General features: G+C 43.9%; 1 protein-coding gene across 12 annotated transcripts in view, besides 1 other annotated feature; it reads left to right on the top strand.

Moving 5' to 3' along the window:
- The window catches only part of STON2 (stonin 2), a 175814-nt gene that overhangs the window by 1764 nt on the left and 157905 nt on the right, over positions 1-16145 (top strand). For 8 of the 12 annotated variants that reach the window (XM_024449736.2, NM_001366850.2, NM_001366849.2 and 5 more), the window contains exon 2: positions 7490-7600. The gene's annotated coding sequence lies outside the window, so the exon portion shown is untranslated. Of the gene's footprint in view, positions 1-6926; positions 7402-7489; positions 7601-16145 lie in introns of those variants that run through there. The other 4 variants (NM_001256430.3, XM_024449734.2, XM_047431811.1 and 1 more) reach the window with 1 other exon arrangement.
- Positions 6722-7226: an enhancer, noted in NCBI's record as "NANOG-H3K4me1 hESC enhancer chr14:81893820-81894324 (GRCh37/hg19 assembly coordinates)". NCBI's record gives its function as "activates a minimal SCP1, AML or CMV promoter by ChIP-STARR-seq in naive H9 embryonic stem cells {active_cell/tissue: H9 hESC(naive)}" and the evidence as "EXISTENCE:reporter gene assay evidence [ECO:0000049][PMID:30033119]".

Raw genomic sequence — 16145 nt, 5'->3', positions numbered from 1 at the left:
CCTACTGTGTGACGAATCCAAAAAACCTTCTCAAAGCTTCTCTAGGGTGATGTCAGTGGGAATCTGTCTTACCACACCATACTACCCCCTATCCCCCAACCCATAGGCTAGGAACTGGGGAAAGGATGCAAACAAAATGCCCCAGTTCTTCTAGGGTCTCTTGTGCTTTTGCCAGGAGCCTTAGAATGAATACATTGACTTAGAGGAAATGCTTATCTTCTCAGGGGGTAAGAAGCCCACTTCCAGATGCAATCTTTCAAGTCTCAGATTAGCATGGCAGCCCTTTCAGTTGTTGATAAGAGGACTTTTACTCTCTCCAGTGGCGTGGGAGGATCTGAACGCTTGCTGCTGGGGGTAGTAAGAGAGATGTGTTGGGCGGGGCAAAGACTTCTGAGTTCAGAGCCAGACTCCCACCTCGTGAGATCTCAGACTGTGACTGATTCTGGGAAACTTCAACAAATTGCTTTGTTTTTCTGAGCCAGGCTTCTGCTTTATAAAATGAGTTGTTGAATTTTTAATTTTATTATTATTTTTTCTTAGAAGTTGTTCTAAGGATAGTACTAATGAATGGAGGCGCCGTGGCACAGTTCCAGGGATGTGGTTACAGGTCTGTAGCATCCAGAGAAGATCTTAAAAGTTATACCTGGGAAAGACACAAAAAGCTTGACCGAGGGGTAACACTTGAGCTGAGTGTAGAATGATGAGCAAGTCTCTTGTGCAGGCAGGGGTGAGGTGGGATTGGAAACAAGGTAGAGCAGAGAAGAGAAGACATTCCAGACTGAGAGAAGTGATCAAAAGGACTGTTACAGTCAGTTTAACGGTAAATAACAAGTAACCCCCAAATCTCAGTGATTTATAACAGCCAAGATTTAGTTCCCTCTCATGCTGCATGTCCAGTGTAAGTCAGGCATAGTTCTACCCCTCACTTGTCATCATTCTGGGACCCACTGAGGCTTAAGAAACAGCTTCTCTCTGGGACAATGTGGATCTTATTTATGACAAAGGGAAAAAGGACATGATAGAACAAAACTGTAGCATCTAAAGTCTGCTCAGAAGTAGCAGCCATCACTTCAGCTCTCATGCTGTTGGTCAAGGTAACTCACATGGCAAAGTCTGCTGTCCGTGGTATGGGGAAGTCTAAACCAGCTGCAGACAGCAAGGTATGGCTGAGCAGGAGGAAAAGTGCTGAAGGAAACAAGATCAGGAGGTGGCCCAGTGGCAGATGATGAAGGACCCTGGGTCGGGTGCCAGGGGATTGGGACTTTATCCATTGGCAGGGAGCAGCCACTGAAGAGTTTTGAGTTGGGCTTTGACAGGGTCAGATTTTCCTGCTGAACACACATTTCTAGTGGCCAGGTGGAGAGAAGATTGAAATAGGTGAGCTAAAAAGCAAGAGGCGATGAGGGCCAGGGCAAATACGGTGGCCTGCAGTCTCTCTCTCACCATCTGTTACATGACTTCAAATTCCACTGCTAGAAACTGATTTAGTTGGCGCTTGAGCAGCTTGCCTTCTTCACAAGTTCTCTCCTAAAATGCACGTGCTCTCTCATCTTGAAGTCGTTATTTTATATCACCTGAAGCAGTGGATCTCAAACTTTAGTGTGCATCCGAATCACTTGGAGGGATTGAGAAAATGCAGATTGCTGGGCCTGGCCCCCTGAGTTCCTGAATCAGTCAGTCTGGTCTGGGGCCTGGAAATGAGTATTTCTGACAAGTGCTCAGGGGATACTGATGCCGCTGGTCCCACCCTTTGAAAACCACTAAACTAAGGGGAGACATTAAGATGTGATTGAGATAAATATCTGAATAGAAGAGTCCAATGGAAGGAGGAAAAGGGCTGGAAGGTCTCAGCATTCTCCATGCAGAAGTTTTGCTGAAGGCTGGCTCTGGCCATGAGCAGTAGGCTCTGTAAGAGTAGCTGAGTCTCTAGGTGTATATTAAATTGCAGATGCAATGCTCATAGTGAGAAAATGAAAAAAGCTTGGGTCCAGAGAAGAAGCATACAAGTGCTGCTTTGTCCCATCCCTTTGTAATTTTGCCCAGACTTCCCATCCTGTCATCTAGCACACACCCTTTTGTCTGGCTCCAGACCTCTCACTCAGGCCTGTCCACATATTCCAATCCTGATCCATCACACTTCTTGTCATTCCAGCTATAATTTCTTCTGGAGCTGAGCTTTCCCACTGGGTGGACATTTGGCTGAATTTTCATATAGTCAGACCAAGAAATTGCTTGCTTTACTTGAGGTCACCATCATAATTAAACATCTGTGCCATGTGGTCATACAGATTGTGATCAGCACCTACCCCCAAGATAAATAACCCCCTGAGAACCCAAGATTGTCCATGGTTTGGCTTATACTACGAGATGGAGCAAGTTACTACAATTCCCCCCAACTGTGACTCATCACTCCTGTAACAACAGGGCATGCCAGAAATGGACGTAAAGGAGCAAATATGTTGGGGTGTCTAATGTGACACGGGAAATAAAACACAGTGAGAGTGTCTTTTTTTTTGCTATGGTTTTTCTCATTCGTAAGCATGGCACAAATTTGAACTCTACCTAGGGTCCCAATAAACCAGTGGTTTACCAGCATGTGACAGAGAGCATGTAAATGCATGAAATACTTCTAGGATCACCATTCTAAGTGCTGGCTACCAGATTAGAATATTTGTTTGAAGGTAGGATGAGTGCAGAATTATCCATCGGGGTATGAATAGAAAATTCTAGAAATTCTATATGCATTTTATTTTTTTGAGATAGAGTTTTGCTCTTGTCCCCCAGGCTTTAGTGCGGTGGTGTGATCTAAGCTTGCCGCAACCTCTACCTCCCAGGTTCAAGGGATTCTCCTGCCTCAGTCTCCCAAGTAGCTGGGATTACAGGTACCCACCACCACGCCCAGCTAATTTTTTTTTTTTTTTTTTGAGACAGAGTTTCGCTGTTGTTGCCTAGCCTAGAGTGCAGTGCGCAATATCGGCTTACTGCAACCTCCGGCTCCCGGGTTCAAGCAATTCTCTTGCCTCAGCCTCCCTAGTAGCTGGGATTACAGGAATGCGCCACTATGCCTGGCTAATTTTGTATTTTTAGTAGAGACAGAGTTTTGCCATGTTGGTCAGGGTGGTCTTGAACTCCTGATCTCAGGTAATGTGTCCACCTTGGCCTCCCAAAGTGCTGGGATCACAGGCGTGAGCCACCGTGCCTGGCCACAGGTAATTTTTCTATTTTTAGTAGAGATGAGGTTTTACTATGTTGGCCAGGCTGGTCTCGAACTCCTGACCGCAAGTGATCCGCCTGCTTCAGCCTCTCAAAGTGCTAGGATTACAGGTGTGAGCCACTGCATCCGGCCTTCTATATGCATATTAAATGTGTATAAAATAAGAAATATAATGAGCTCATATTATAAAATGAAGTGAGTGAGATTTGAAAAGATCCTTGTTCCAGTTGAGATTTGAGAGACAAGTCATACCTTGAAGGTGTGCTTTCTGAAACAGGAGAAACTCCCCCAGGATTCTGTGTACCTTCCCAGAGGTGGATGAGAAAGCTTAGAACTATAACCTCTGTCCTGGAGGCCTGAAGCCAACTGTTTCCCTCTCCAGGTCATTTTGGAGAGCCAGCAGTTTTTCCCCCTCGTGCAGCTGTGGCCTCGGTACTGCCTTCACTTGATCTATTCTATGGTGAACTACCACAGTTCCCTCCAGCTCAGGTTTCCAGGAAACCTGGCCTGAAATTTCAAAAGGTGCAGCAAACAAAACTGTGGATGTAACTCTGAGAGCCAGTGAGAGAAGGGACACTTAAACCAGCCAGGGGGATTTGAAATGCTGAACAATTCATTAGAAGGTGCTGCCATCCCCACTGGATAACATTTACCCAGCACTTTGATATTTAAGAAATGTTAAGTATCACAGCATAGAAAAATATTATCTTCTATTATCTAGTTATATTAAATAAATGCTTATATCTCATATATATATGTTTTTTCACATCTCTAGCACTTTCAGGAGGTAGACTTTAGTGTTACTGCTCTCTTTCTGAAATGCAGTAACAAAGATAGAAACAGTTGACCAAAATTCTATAGATACATAATAGTAGGGCAGGATTGAAACTTGGATTTTTCATTCATAGTGTACAACCTTTGTCACCCCAGCTGGCTGCCTACTAACTTGGACTGGTGCCCTGAAGTGGCCTCTCTAACTGGCAAGGGGTGGTCAGTGTTCCTTGTGATGTTTCATCACAGCGAAGAGTGTGAAGCCGCTTTGCAGATTGCTAATGGCTCAGTGAAACCTTTGGGAGTTATGTTCATCTGAATGGTATTGACCATCTGCTGAGTGCAAGGCTTTGAGGAGAACGTTACGAGGAATTCAGAGAAGTATTATGCTCAGTCTCTGACACAGCCTCTATGCTGAGAGAGAAAAGACATAATATTTATATAAAATCAATGATAGTTAAACCACAGCGAGACCAACAGTAGGCAAATAATCCAGTGGGCTGTCAAGTGCTGTGAATTCAGACAGCGAGTCTTTCCCAGATTGTGCTGGGCTGGGAAGGTTCAGGGAGGAGCAGCTACTCCGGGCTGGATGGAGAAGGAGGATTTAGCTAGGTGGGAACCATAGTCTTTAGGGAAGGAATGGGTCTAAGTGAACTGTGCCCCTGCACTGGTCCACAAGTCTTTTCAGGTCCATTCACTGGACTACTGTATCTGAAGTAAAGGGGTCAAGTGGGAGAGAAGGGAAGTCGGAGCTAGATGACTTTTTTCTTTTTTTTTTTTTTGAGACAGAGTCTTGCTGTGTCACCCAGGCCGGAGTGCAGTGGCGCGATCTCAGCTCACTGCAACCTCCGCCTCCCGGGTTCAAGCAATTCTCCTGCCTCAGCCTGCCGAGTAGCGGGGATTACAGGCGCCCACCATCACGCCCAGCTGATTTTTTGTATTTTTAGTAGAGATGGGGTTTCACCATGTTGGCCAGGCTGGTCTCGAACTTCTGACCTCAGGTGGTCCACCTGCCTCGGCCTCCCAAAGTGCTGGGATTACAGGCGTGAGCCATCATGCCCGACCTAGATGACTTCTTAAAGCTGTCCTTTCTTGACTGCCATCGGACTATTTAATCTTTGCCTAAATTATCAAAAGCACTGTTTAATCTGAATGGCTGCATAACCTCCTACAAATGAAGCCATTCAGTGATTTATTAGTAGGTGAATAACACTGGACTCTGATTTGGCCCTCTTAACATGTTCATTGTATTAATAGGAAAGCACTTTGGAGCTAAGGATGTCAAACGTCTATATAAATAAAATCTAATCCTATTATAAACTCTGTCAAACTTGCAGGCAGTTGGTCCTACTCCACTTGCAGTCTAACCTGGAAAGGTCAAATGACTTGTTGAAAGTCATGCAGAAATCCCCTGGTGCTTCTATAATAACTGACCCTGCTTCCCCTGACATTTGGTGGTGTCTAGCTTAAGTCACTTCATATCTCCGTAAGGATGGTGACACTAAGAATGACATTAAGATGACACTAGGGCTCCTGTCATTTAGATAGGATTTCTCCTACTCATATTATGCCCCATGGGGGCTCTCAGCTGTGACCCCAAAGGGTCCTTGTTAATTTTAAGCTTGGGGTGAGATCATTGTACACTTCTCTTTCAGGCTTCTCCCTGGCTTTCATTGAAAGAAGGTACCATTTTAGTGCTGTGTGTCCATGCAAACACACCATCTGAATGAAAGGGCATTCTCAAGCATATTTCATGCCAAATGCCGAGAAGTAGAGTGGGACCATCAGTGGCTTTCTATCTACCTGAACTTTGAAGTTAGACACTAGACCATTGCCAGCTTGATAGTCCTTCCATTGGCTGCCCTTTGAAGTTAGCTAACTGGTTTAAAAAAACCAAATGGGATACTTTAAATGAAAACAGATTTTATTTGTTTGCCTTAGAAACGGAAAACATTTATCTTAAGTTTTTTTGGTTTTTGTTTCTGTTTTTTTTTGAGACAGAGTATCATTGTGTCACCCAGGCTGGAGTGCAGTGGCAGGATCTCAGTTCACTGCAGCCTCTGCCTCCTGGGTTCAAGCGATTCTCATGTCTCTCCTTCCCCAGTAGCTGGGACTACAGGTGTGTGCCACCATGCCTGGCTAATTTTTGTGTTTTCAGTAGAGACGGGGTTTCGCCATGTTGGCCTGGCTAGTCTCGAACTTCTGGCCTCAAGCAGCCCACCTGCCTCAGCCTCCCAAAGTTCTGGGATTACAGGCGTGAGCCACCATGCCTGGCCCATTTGTCTTAAGCTTTTAAAAGAGAATAATGATAATGCCATGGTTAAGTGGATAAGGCTGGGGTGATCCATATTTGGTAGACGTATCCAGTTATACGTTGTTTAAATGTCGTCTATTATGTGAACTCAGAGCTGTCAAAAATAATACTTTGTGTTTTTCCCCATCCTTGCCAAACATAAAATATTCATTTTTTTCTAAATCATTCCGTGTCCCTACATTTCCCTCTACTTCAGACTTTGAACAGTTGAAGGGTGGAAAACTTTTATCATTGCTGAAATTATCAAAAACACTATCAATAGCTATCATGCGTTGAGTTTTACGTCCACTGCTGAGTGGTTATACCATGTTATTTTACTTAATTTGCACCTCAACGCTGTAAGGTCAGGAGGAGTAGCATCTCATCTAAGGAGTAGCATTACATGAGGAGTAGCATTTCATGAGACAGAGGCTGGAGCTAAGTACTTTGTCAAAGGTTGTAATGGAGCTGGGCTTTAAACCTACCTCTCTTAATCGCTTAGATCTAGAAGCTATGCCCTGAGTCACTGTGGTATCTGGAAGCAAAAGGAAATGTGCTCTAAAGAGTTAACAGGGGCTATCTGTGCACTCTGGCCACACCCTGGGAGATGCCTGGTAGGAGGAAAACTGCTTTTGTTTTTGCACGGTCAGTTCACAGTATCAGCAGGGCAGTCAAAGCACACTTTTTTCTCTCTCTCTTTTTTTTTTTCCCATCTCATCCTTATTCTTTTTGTTATGATCTCTAAAAAGTTGGTGAGTTAGGGAGTGAGGATCTATTTGAGTAAATCCAGCATGTTTCTCAGTCACCACCCATCAACCTAATTGGCATAGGCGGGGCTGTGCTGTCTGCAACACAGCCAGCTCCTCCAGCTGTGCCATCCATCATACTCAGGCACCCTGGAGCGCACATGCTCTGCTTCCGGTTGATTTTAAGTTCCCGATTCCTGAGCAGGCCTTGGGGAGGCAGTCCCAAGGAGTCAGAGTTGTTTGCTGTCGCATATCAGACTCCGGTCTGGGTGACTTGGCTGGTCACAGCACAGTGCTCCTGGGCCCAGGGGCTGTGATCTCCTGTCATTTGGTTGCCATTTTCCTGTGAAGAGGGTAGAGAATATGCACCCAGTCAGGTCAGGCACTTTGCAGAGGTGGGTCCTGGCTATAAGAAAGCCAGATAAGAGTGCAGGTTCATTTATGCATGTATGTTTCTACTCATAGGAAAACAACTCACGAGGCAAAAAAGTACATCTCGTGGATGGAGCAGGGCGAAGTGGTTACAAGTACAGACTCTGGAGCCAGACTGCCTGGGTTTGAATTGTGCGGTTTCAGGTAAGCTATTTAATCTCCCTGAGCCTCAGTTTCCTTATCTCTGTAAAGGGAACCTACTTCATAGGGTTATGAGGATTATATGATAATTTAATTAAATGAACAGTAAAGCACTTTGACATCAATGTCTGAGAGATGAGAAGTGTTACGTAAGTGTTTATCAAATAGCACATAAAAATAAAGCGGTAGGTGAACATCATGATTTGTAGGTTACACAGTGCTGTGTTAGACGAAGCTTACGTGACTACCTCAGTTAAGGTACTCACGGTGAGTTATGCTCAAACGAAATCTTATAAAATGTCCTAGGGAAACTAGCCATTTTAAAGAATCATGTGAGAAATATGTATGTAAACTGCCTTTTTGTAAAATGAACATGAGAGAAACTGTGTCAGAGGAAGCGAGAAGACAAGGTTGGATGACTCGATGTTTCGGGCGAGGGGGACTGGAGGGGTAGAGTGCCATCATCTTGGATGGGAAGGGTTCTTGCCGCAGTCATTTCAGGGAAGGGAGAGTCGCTGGTCAAATCTGGATGCGTTAAGTGTGAGAGTCTTGTTAGATGTTGAAGTGAAGATGCTCAGTGGGCACCAGGAGAAGTCAGGTGAGAAGTCAAGGCTGGAAGCATCTGTGTGGGGGGTCCCTAGCTTATAGATGGAATCTAAAGCTGTGAAGGAATGAAGGTATTTAACAGCTGGAGAAGGGGTCCTAGGGTTGAATCAGGGGACATGCCAGCTTCACTGGGAAATTCAAGCTGGCTCGAGGTTTCTAGTTTGTGCTTTTCTTCACTTTGCCAGTGTAAAATGAGGTATGGACCCATTGGCATTTTCTTTGGGTGGTTTTATCATTTGAGCTCTATAATCCCATGGTTAGGTGCCTGAGTTAAGACTAGGGTCGGATACCATTTGACCTCTTACTATCTTTGTGCCCTTGGGCAAGTTACTTAGTCTCTGAGACTCAGTTTCTTTGCCTGTGAGATGAGAACTGGTGGTTAAAAATGCCCATCTCATAGGTGTGAGGGCTCAGTAAGTGCGACATTCGTGCTGTGAAGCTGTTCACCACTTTATGTCTTGAAAGATTCTCACCGTTCATGTAAATTTGTTAAAAGTGAGGAGTGGTGACAGTCACATGTGTTTAAATCCCTTTGAATTTTCCCTAAGCTGAAATCCGAATTTTAATTCCACTTATATTGCTACTGTTTTTCTTCTTTAAAAAAAATAATAAAAGAGAGAGGTCAGGGAAATACTATAGTAACTATACACATATGCCAGAGACTTACGTTTTCTCTGTAATTGAAACATTACATCCAGCGATCAGATCTGGCCTCTATATGTGGTAATTGCTACAAGAATCGCAGATGCTCAAGCATTCAGAGATATGAAAACTGAAACACAGAACAAAAGAGATACCACTGGATGACAGTGTTTTAGTATTACGTATAATAACCTCATGTTTGCTCTTTGCCACCATGAGCCAGGTAAGAAGGTTCTCTCACTCTTCCCTAAGATACTAACCAATCTTCCCTACTTTTTTTTTTTTGATGGCAGAGTTCACTCTGTCGTCCAGGCTGGAGTACAGTGGCATGATCTTGGCTCACTGCAATCTCTGCCTCCTGAATTCAAGTGATTCTCCTGCCTAAGCCTCCCAAGTAGCTGGGATTACAGGTGTGAGCCACCGTGCCCAGCTAATTTTGTGTTGGTAGTGGAGATGGAGTTTCACTTTGTTGGCTAAGCTGGTCTCGAACTCCTGACCTCAAATGATCCTCCCTCCTCCTCAGCCTCTTAAAGTGGTGGGATTCCAGGCATGAGCCACCAAGCTCAGTCTTCTCTACTATTTTAAATCCAAGTTTTACACTTGGTTGGAAAATTCCTCTAATCCATTTTATTTCACTTAGCAAATAATAATATTCTGAATCTGTTTCTAAAAAACTCTCACTCTCAAAGCTAAATAAGAACCCAGAGATGTGGAGAATCACATTCTGAAGTCTTGTCACTCCATTCTCTAATTATTATGTCTGCTGTATTTGCATTTATGGTTTATATGCTTTGAATTTGTAGCTTTTCTGTTTTGCAAGAGTTACTGTCAGTGAGACATCTACCAAAAGAAATACTGCTATTAGTGGTGTCAGGACCAAATGTATGTAACAGTGTGGTGTGTTTCTAAATCCCTACTGTGGTTTTTGAGAAACTGTCTCTAAATGGGAGAGGGTGATGTGAAGACTGAAAGAAAAAATCTTTAGAAACAACAAAGCAGAAACATTAATAGGAAAGAGCTTCCAGTGATTAAATTTTTCTTTTGGTCTTTCAGATTGAGAAAGTAAGGAGAATAGGCATACATGGTGGGAAATTTCTATCAACTTGGAAAAAACAATAGAATACATAATTCTTAGCCACTGAGATGAGAGCCCAGGAAGTCACAAGGTCAAAGGATCCTGTCCCATTGTCTGTGGTGACAGCCTGTCCTCCCACTATAAGGAATGCCTTACCCTTAAACAATGGAAGTGTCCCTGAGAAGTTGAAGAAATGCATGCTGATGGAATTTTAAAAATCATATCATTGTAGAAGTACTCCAGTGATTATACTTTTCTGTATTTTCCATTTTTTTTTTTTTTAGTGAGAGTGTATTCTGTTTATAATAAAAACAGAAATCAGAAAAATATTTTTTTTTGATATGGTGTCTTGCTTTGTCATCCAGGCTGGAGTACAGTGGCGCGATCTTGGCTCACTGCAACCTCAGCTTCCCGTGTTCAAGCGATTCTCTTGCCTCAGCCTCCCAAGTAGCTGGGGTTTTAGGTGTGCGCCACCACTCCCAGCTAATTTTTATCTTTTTAGTAGAGATGGGGTTTCACCATGTTGGCCAGGCTGGTCTCAAACTCCTGACATCAAGTGATCTGCCTGCCTTGGCCTCCCAAAGTGCTGGGATTATAGGCATGAGCCACCGTGCCTGATTAGGAAAAATAAAAGAAGGAAATAAACTAGGAGTGTGGGGATGAGTGAGTTGTCACCATTGAAAGGTGCTCATTTGCTCACATTTTATACTGTGAGAATTCTTTTGTCCTGCAAGCTGTGGCATTTCATAACATACCTGCTCTCCACATTTAGAATTTACTTTAAACATAGGGGATGTCAGTAGTGCATTTCATGTATCAAAACCTCAGACTCCACTCTACCAAAGCAGCCAGGCCTCAGTCAACAGACATCGACTCTCGCACTGTGCCAAGCCCACCCAGTGTGTCCTGGTTCCTTGTGGCTGTCCCTGGCAGTTGGAGACACCCACATGCCCCAGCCTTCAGTCAGCAGACACAAACTTGGGATGCGTCGGTTTCTTGTTTGTGAGAGGCCTGGTTCACAAGGATAACATCATGATCAGCCAGGGGCCCCTGTGCAGCTGCCCCATGAGGCCACTGCAGCAGCCTGTGTTTTAGCCTTTGGCCAGGCTGTTTTGGTTTTATGCCCATGCGTCTGTTTTGTTGGGGGAAGAGGGAGGGGAAGGATTCTCAGAAAAGGGAAGGACGTATCCTCCGCTTTGCTGAAAACGGAAATAAGGAATTATCAGTTCAGGGTCAGTAGAAGCCACAGTGCCTGGCTTCCTTCTGCTGGGCTCCTCTGGAATAATTTTGTTTTGTTTTGAAAGGCCCGAAAGCAACTTGAGCCAGATAAGTTGTTCTAGGGTGACAGTTTTTAACAGGGAGTCCACAGATCCCTAGGACTTTGAGAAGTGTGTCTGTGAAGTGCCTTAAATTATAATTAATGTTGCATGTATGTGTATTTTTCCAGAGATGAGAGTCTCTGGCTTAAATTATAACTCAAAGAGATTCAGAGAGCTATAATTTTTTGTTTAAAGGCTAAGAACCAGTTTCAAGGAGAGGCCTTCAAGTCTGAGTTGTACATCTTGGTCTTGGCCCTAACTTGAGAACTCTTCCTGGTTGGTGACTTGTGTACGTAGTGATAACATCAAGAAAAGTGTGCAGCGCACCTTAGGTATACCTATAGAAGGTCATGTTGCAGGAAGATGAAGATAGTTTCACTTTTTCAAGTGCTGGAAAGCTGGAAATCTAGAAATCTTTTTTTTTTTTTGAGACAGAGTCTTGCCCTGTCTCCCAGGCTGGAGTGCGGTGGTGCCATCTTGGCTCACTGCAACCTCCGCCTCCAGGGTTCAAGCGATTTTCCTACCTCAGCCTCTTGAGTAGCTGGGATTACAGGTGCATACCTCCACACCCAGCTAATTTTTTTTGTATCTTTAGTAGAGACGGGGTTTCACCATGTTGGCCAGGCTAGTCTTGAACTCCTGACCTCGTGATCTGCCCGCCTCAGCCTCCCAAAGTGCTGCGATTACAGGCGTGAGCCACCGTGCCTGGCCTGGAAGTCTAGAAATACTAGGTGGACCCACAGAAACCCGTGCACTTACTGAAGCCCATGCTGCAGAAAGATGGTTTCACTTCTTCAAATGCTGGAAAACTGGGCATCCAGAAATCTGTGACCTCTGTCCTAATGCCTCCTATTCTCTCCTTTCTCAAGCACACTCAGAGCTCCCTTAATATTCTGTATTATCATAGTATTGACTAGTTGGAATGAACACAAATATCTCTTTTACCTGGTGTCTCAGTGTGTTTGTGTTGCTGTTAAGGAACACCCAAGACTGGGTAATTTATAAAGAAAAGAGGTTTATTTGGCTCATAGTTCTGCGGGTTGTACAAGAAGCATGGCGCCAACATCTGCTTCTGGTGAGGGCTTCAGGTTGGTTCCACTCAGGATGGAAGGTAAAGGGGACCCAGGTGTGCAGAGATCACATAGCAAGACAGCAGAAACAAGAGAAAAAGGAGGAGGTGCCAGGCTCTTTTCAACTTCAGTTCTCGCAGGAACTGAGTGAGAACTCACTCACTCCTGTGAGAATGGTACCAAGCCATTCATAGGGATCTGGCCTCACCATCCAAACACCTCTTACTGAGCCCCACCACCAACACTGGGGATCAAACTACAACAGGAGACTTGGCAGGGCCAAACAAAGCATGTCCAAATCATAGCACCTGATCTTCTGCTGAGTTCTAAGATAATCCAGGCCCTCATGATGGTGACAAGATAACACATTTATGAGGAACTTCTTCCAAGTGGCTGTTTATCCTGTGCTAAACACAAATGACCTTCCCCAGGGTTCCAGCCTTGGTTCTTGTTTTTCCTCTTATTATTCTGAGTTACCCAGTCCAAATCCCCAGCTTCCAGTGGCCTCTCAGTCTGTGTTTTTAGCACTCATCTCTCTTCTTCTGAGCTCTAAATCTGCCTATTTAACAGGTCCTAAAGACAACATCTCAATGTGGTTGTCCCACGGGCCCATCAAATCACTGGGCCTAATGCTAAGCTCATCACCTCCCTTTTATGTCCCAACCATTCTTCCTCTTGAAGTCCTTATCTTGGCAAATGGTACAAAAATTGATCCAGTTTTCCAAAGGTTTTTTTCATCCACCTACTGCATCTTTACTTCCACAATCTCAATGAGTCCAAAAAAGATTCTATCCCCATATCTTGATAACATTACATCCTAAATGGCTGTAAAAACACCTTTCCTCTCTATCCCCCATCTTGCGATGCCTAATCACTCTAATTACTAGCTGGTCTTTTCACTCTCTGGTTGATCTCTCTCATTGCTTCCAGAATAACCTTTTTCTAAAAAACAAATTGGGTCATGTTATTTCCCTGCTTAAATTGTTTAATCGATCTCCATTGCCTTTATGACAAAACCCAGCCTTCTTGGCATGGCCTACTGGGCCCTGTCTGACCTGACTCCTAGCTCTCCAGCCTCCTGTCTTACTTTTCTCCTTCTGGCTCATTGCTTCGTCAAAGTAAATCACCTATAGTTCAGAAAACATATCTTTTTATTCATCTTCTGGACTCAGTAGGGGCATAATACATTTTTAATGCAGCTGTTTTGAGTGGAGGCCTTGAAAAAACTATTGCTCTTCACATTCCAAGTCGGGTAACAAAAAGACATCCTCATACCGTCTCAGTGCTTCATCCCATCCCTGCCCCCTGACCTATTTCTAACATTAATGCTGAATCTCAGGCCATCCTTGAACATGAACCTCATTTCTGAGCCTCTCGTCCTCCCTTCACATCATGCCTTATTCATGTCCAGATCCCACCCTGTCTGTGACACACACTGCAGGGGTTGGGGTCAGTGATGGGTGATGTTCAGGTGTGAGGTTAGGGAGGGGCAGGTTTGGGGGTGGACGTAGGAATCAGGGAGGTTGCATACACCCTTTGATAGCAAACAACAGTTTTGCATGTTAACGTGAGTGGTTAAGCATGGCTGAGTGCAATGGTACCCTCTTATTGACCATTTTGTATTGTCATGCTTTGTTCTTATAGATACCATCCTGCCAGCTTGGAATGTCCATTTTCTCCACCAGTGACCCCTGCCTCACAGAACTAATTTCTATTCATCTTTCAACCACTTGTTACCTTCCCTGTTATTCTTCACTGACCCCAAATTGGGCTAGGTGTCACTCCTATGCACCCATCGCACTGCTACATTCTCCTCATTGCCCTGGTCACACCATACTGTGATTATTTATTTGCCTGTCTCTCTCTCCAAGGCAGGTGCTGGATCTTAGTCCTCTCTCTGTTCTTAGAATTTCACAAGAACATCCCTAGCAATAGGAGATGCTGAATGCTTATTGAATGAATGAATGAATGAATGGGCGATGTTCTGTGACAGACTTCTAAAAACCTGCAGATGCTCCATGAGCATAAATAACCCAGAGTCCAATAAGACCTATTAGATCATCTCTTTATATTCTACGCATGTGACATTGCATACCAGCATTGATTCTTATCCAGATTTTAACTTTCCGTATTGGCCATCTCTTAGGCACATCTCAAACCCTCTTAGCCCTACCTGTCTCTGGGCCACTGGACTGAATCATTCGGCCATCCGAGGCTACTACTGCAGGTCCTTTCACTACTTCAGGACCCAGATGAAGTACCACGTTGAAGGGTGTGGAATCTGGATTTCTCATCTGCTGCTAAAGGATCTAGCAGATGCACCCCCAAAATGTGGGGAGTTGGGCCAACATGGTGTGAACTCTGACCAAAGGGGAATAAGAGACAGGTGGGAGCTGGCAGGTACATATCCTGTCCAAGCACCAGCCCCTCCAGTGGAAGGTTTTGAGGTACCTTAGTTCCCAGCAGCCTCTCTGACCCAGCAACAAGCCGATTCTTGTGAAGCCATGGCCAGTTTAGGCCCACTCCGTCTTATGTTTGCTTTCCCTACTTCACTTCTCTTCTCTTACTTGGGCTTCCTTGGGATTGCTGTAAAACACTAGTGTAGAAGCTTGGCCTCAGGCTCTGCCTCCTAAGGAATCTGGCCTAAGATATGTTCACACCTGCCATTATTTCCCTAGAGGATCATGGGCCAGTGGAGGTGGAAGAGGGAAGAACACTATGCATCAGGTGGTCTCTAGAGCGTGGATGCAGCAGGGCTTGCCTGGAAGTTCAAGGCTTCAGCCATGCATCCCCTGTCCTTGTCTATGCAAGTGAGTGGTGTTGGCCACCCTCATTTAGGGGAATTGGGCAGATGGATGCATTAGTAGAAAAAGATCCATCATTTAGAACCTGTGAACTAGTTCCTATGGAGGCTGACCATCTGTTCCATAATTTCCTGTTTTTAAAAATCCCAATGTAAGAAATTAAATATATATATAAACTTTTATGTCAGTGATACAGCTGTGAAAATGGATCCTTAAGAATATCTGTGATATATTCTGGGTTTAAATCCTAGCTTTGCCACTTACTACTTGTGTGACCTTGAGAAAGTTGGCCAGTCCAAGCCTTAGTTTCCTCATCTGGAAAAGAGTCATTAGTAATAGCAGCTTATATCAGGATGCTGTTGTAAAGATGGGACAAGATAATGCATTTGTAGGCCTCAACATAGTACTGTATAGAGTAAGCACTCACAAGATATTAGTTATAGTTATTAATATTCCCTCTTTAAAATACAATATGAGAATGATAAAGAGTGTTAATCCTAGTATAGTAAACAAATTTAAGTTGAGAGTTTTTTTTTTTAATTTGTAGAGCTTAGAAAGGTTTTATTGAGATTTTAAGAGGTATTTTCTTGGTCTGAAACTTTTTTCTAGGGAATCAAAATCTCAGACCCAGTTTTAATCTTGCTAAAAAGGGTGGGAAGGCATGATAAAAAGCTTCTATGGAAGTGGTGTTTACTTGCCAGGTATTTTGTTTTATTGGAAATGTGTGAGAACCACACGGGGCTTGAGACTACCTAAGTGTATTTCCTATCTTCCAAATATTTTTAAGGTCTTTGCAAATAACTTTATATCAATCCCAAATTAATAAATTTGTGGAAACAAAAGCAGAGAGGTTTTACAGTTGTGCTGTGGTCATTCAGAGAATTTGTGGCAGAAAAGATCCCAGGAACTAGCCTCTTGCCCCTTACCTGAGGCAAGCTTCAATCTGTGCCAGGTAAACAGAAAAGTACTTCCTCCAGGGAAGCACATAATCAGGATTAACAATGTGTATGCTGGTAACTTTTTGCCTTTTTT

This window comes from Homo sapiens, chromosome 14 (assembly GCF_000001405.40).
Source record: "Homo sapiens chromosome 14, GRCh38.p14 Primary Assembly".
NCBI classification, from domain to species: domain Eukaryota; kingdom Metazoa; phylum Chordata; class Mammalia; order Primates; family Hominidae; genus Homo; species Homo sapiens.
Note: the sequence above shows the minus strand (reverse complement) of the source record. Positions and strands in the feature narration are given on the sequence as shown.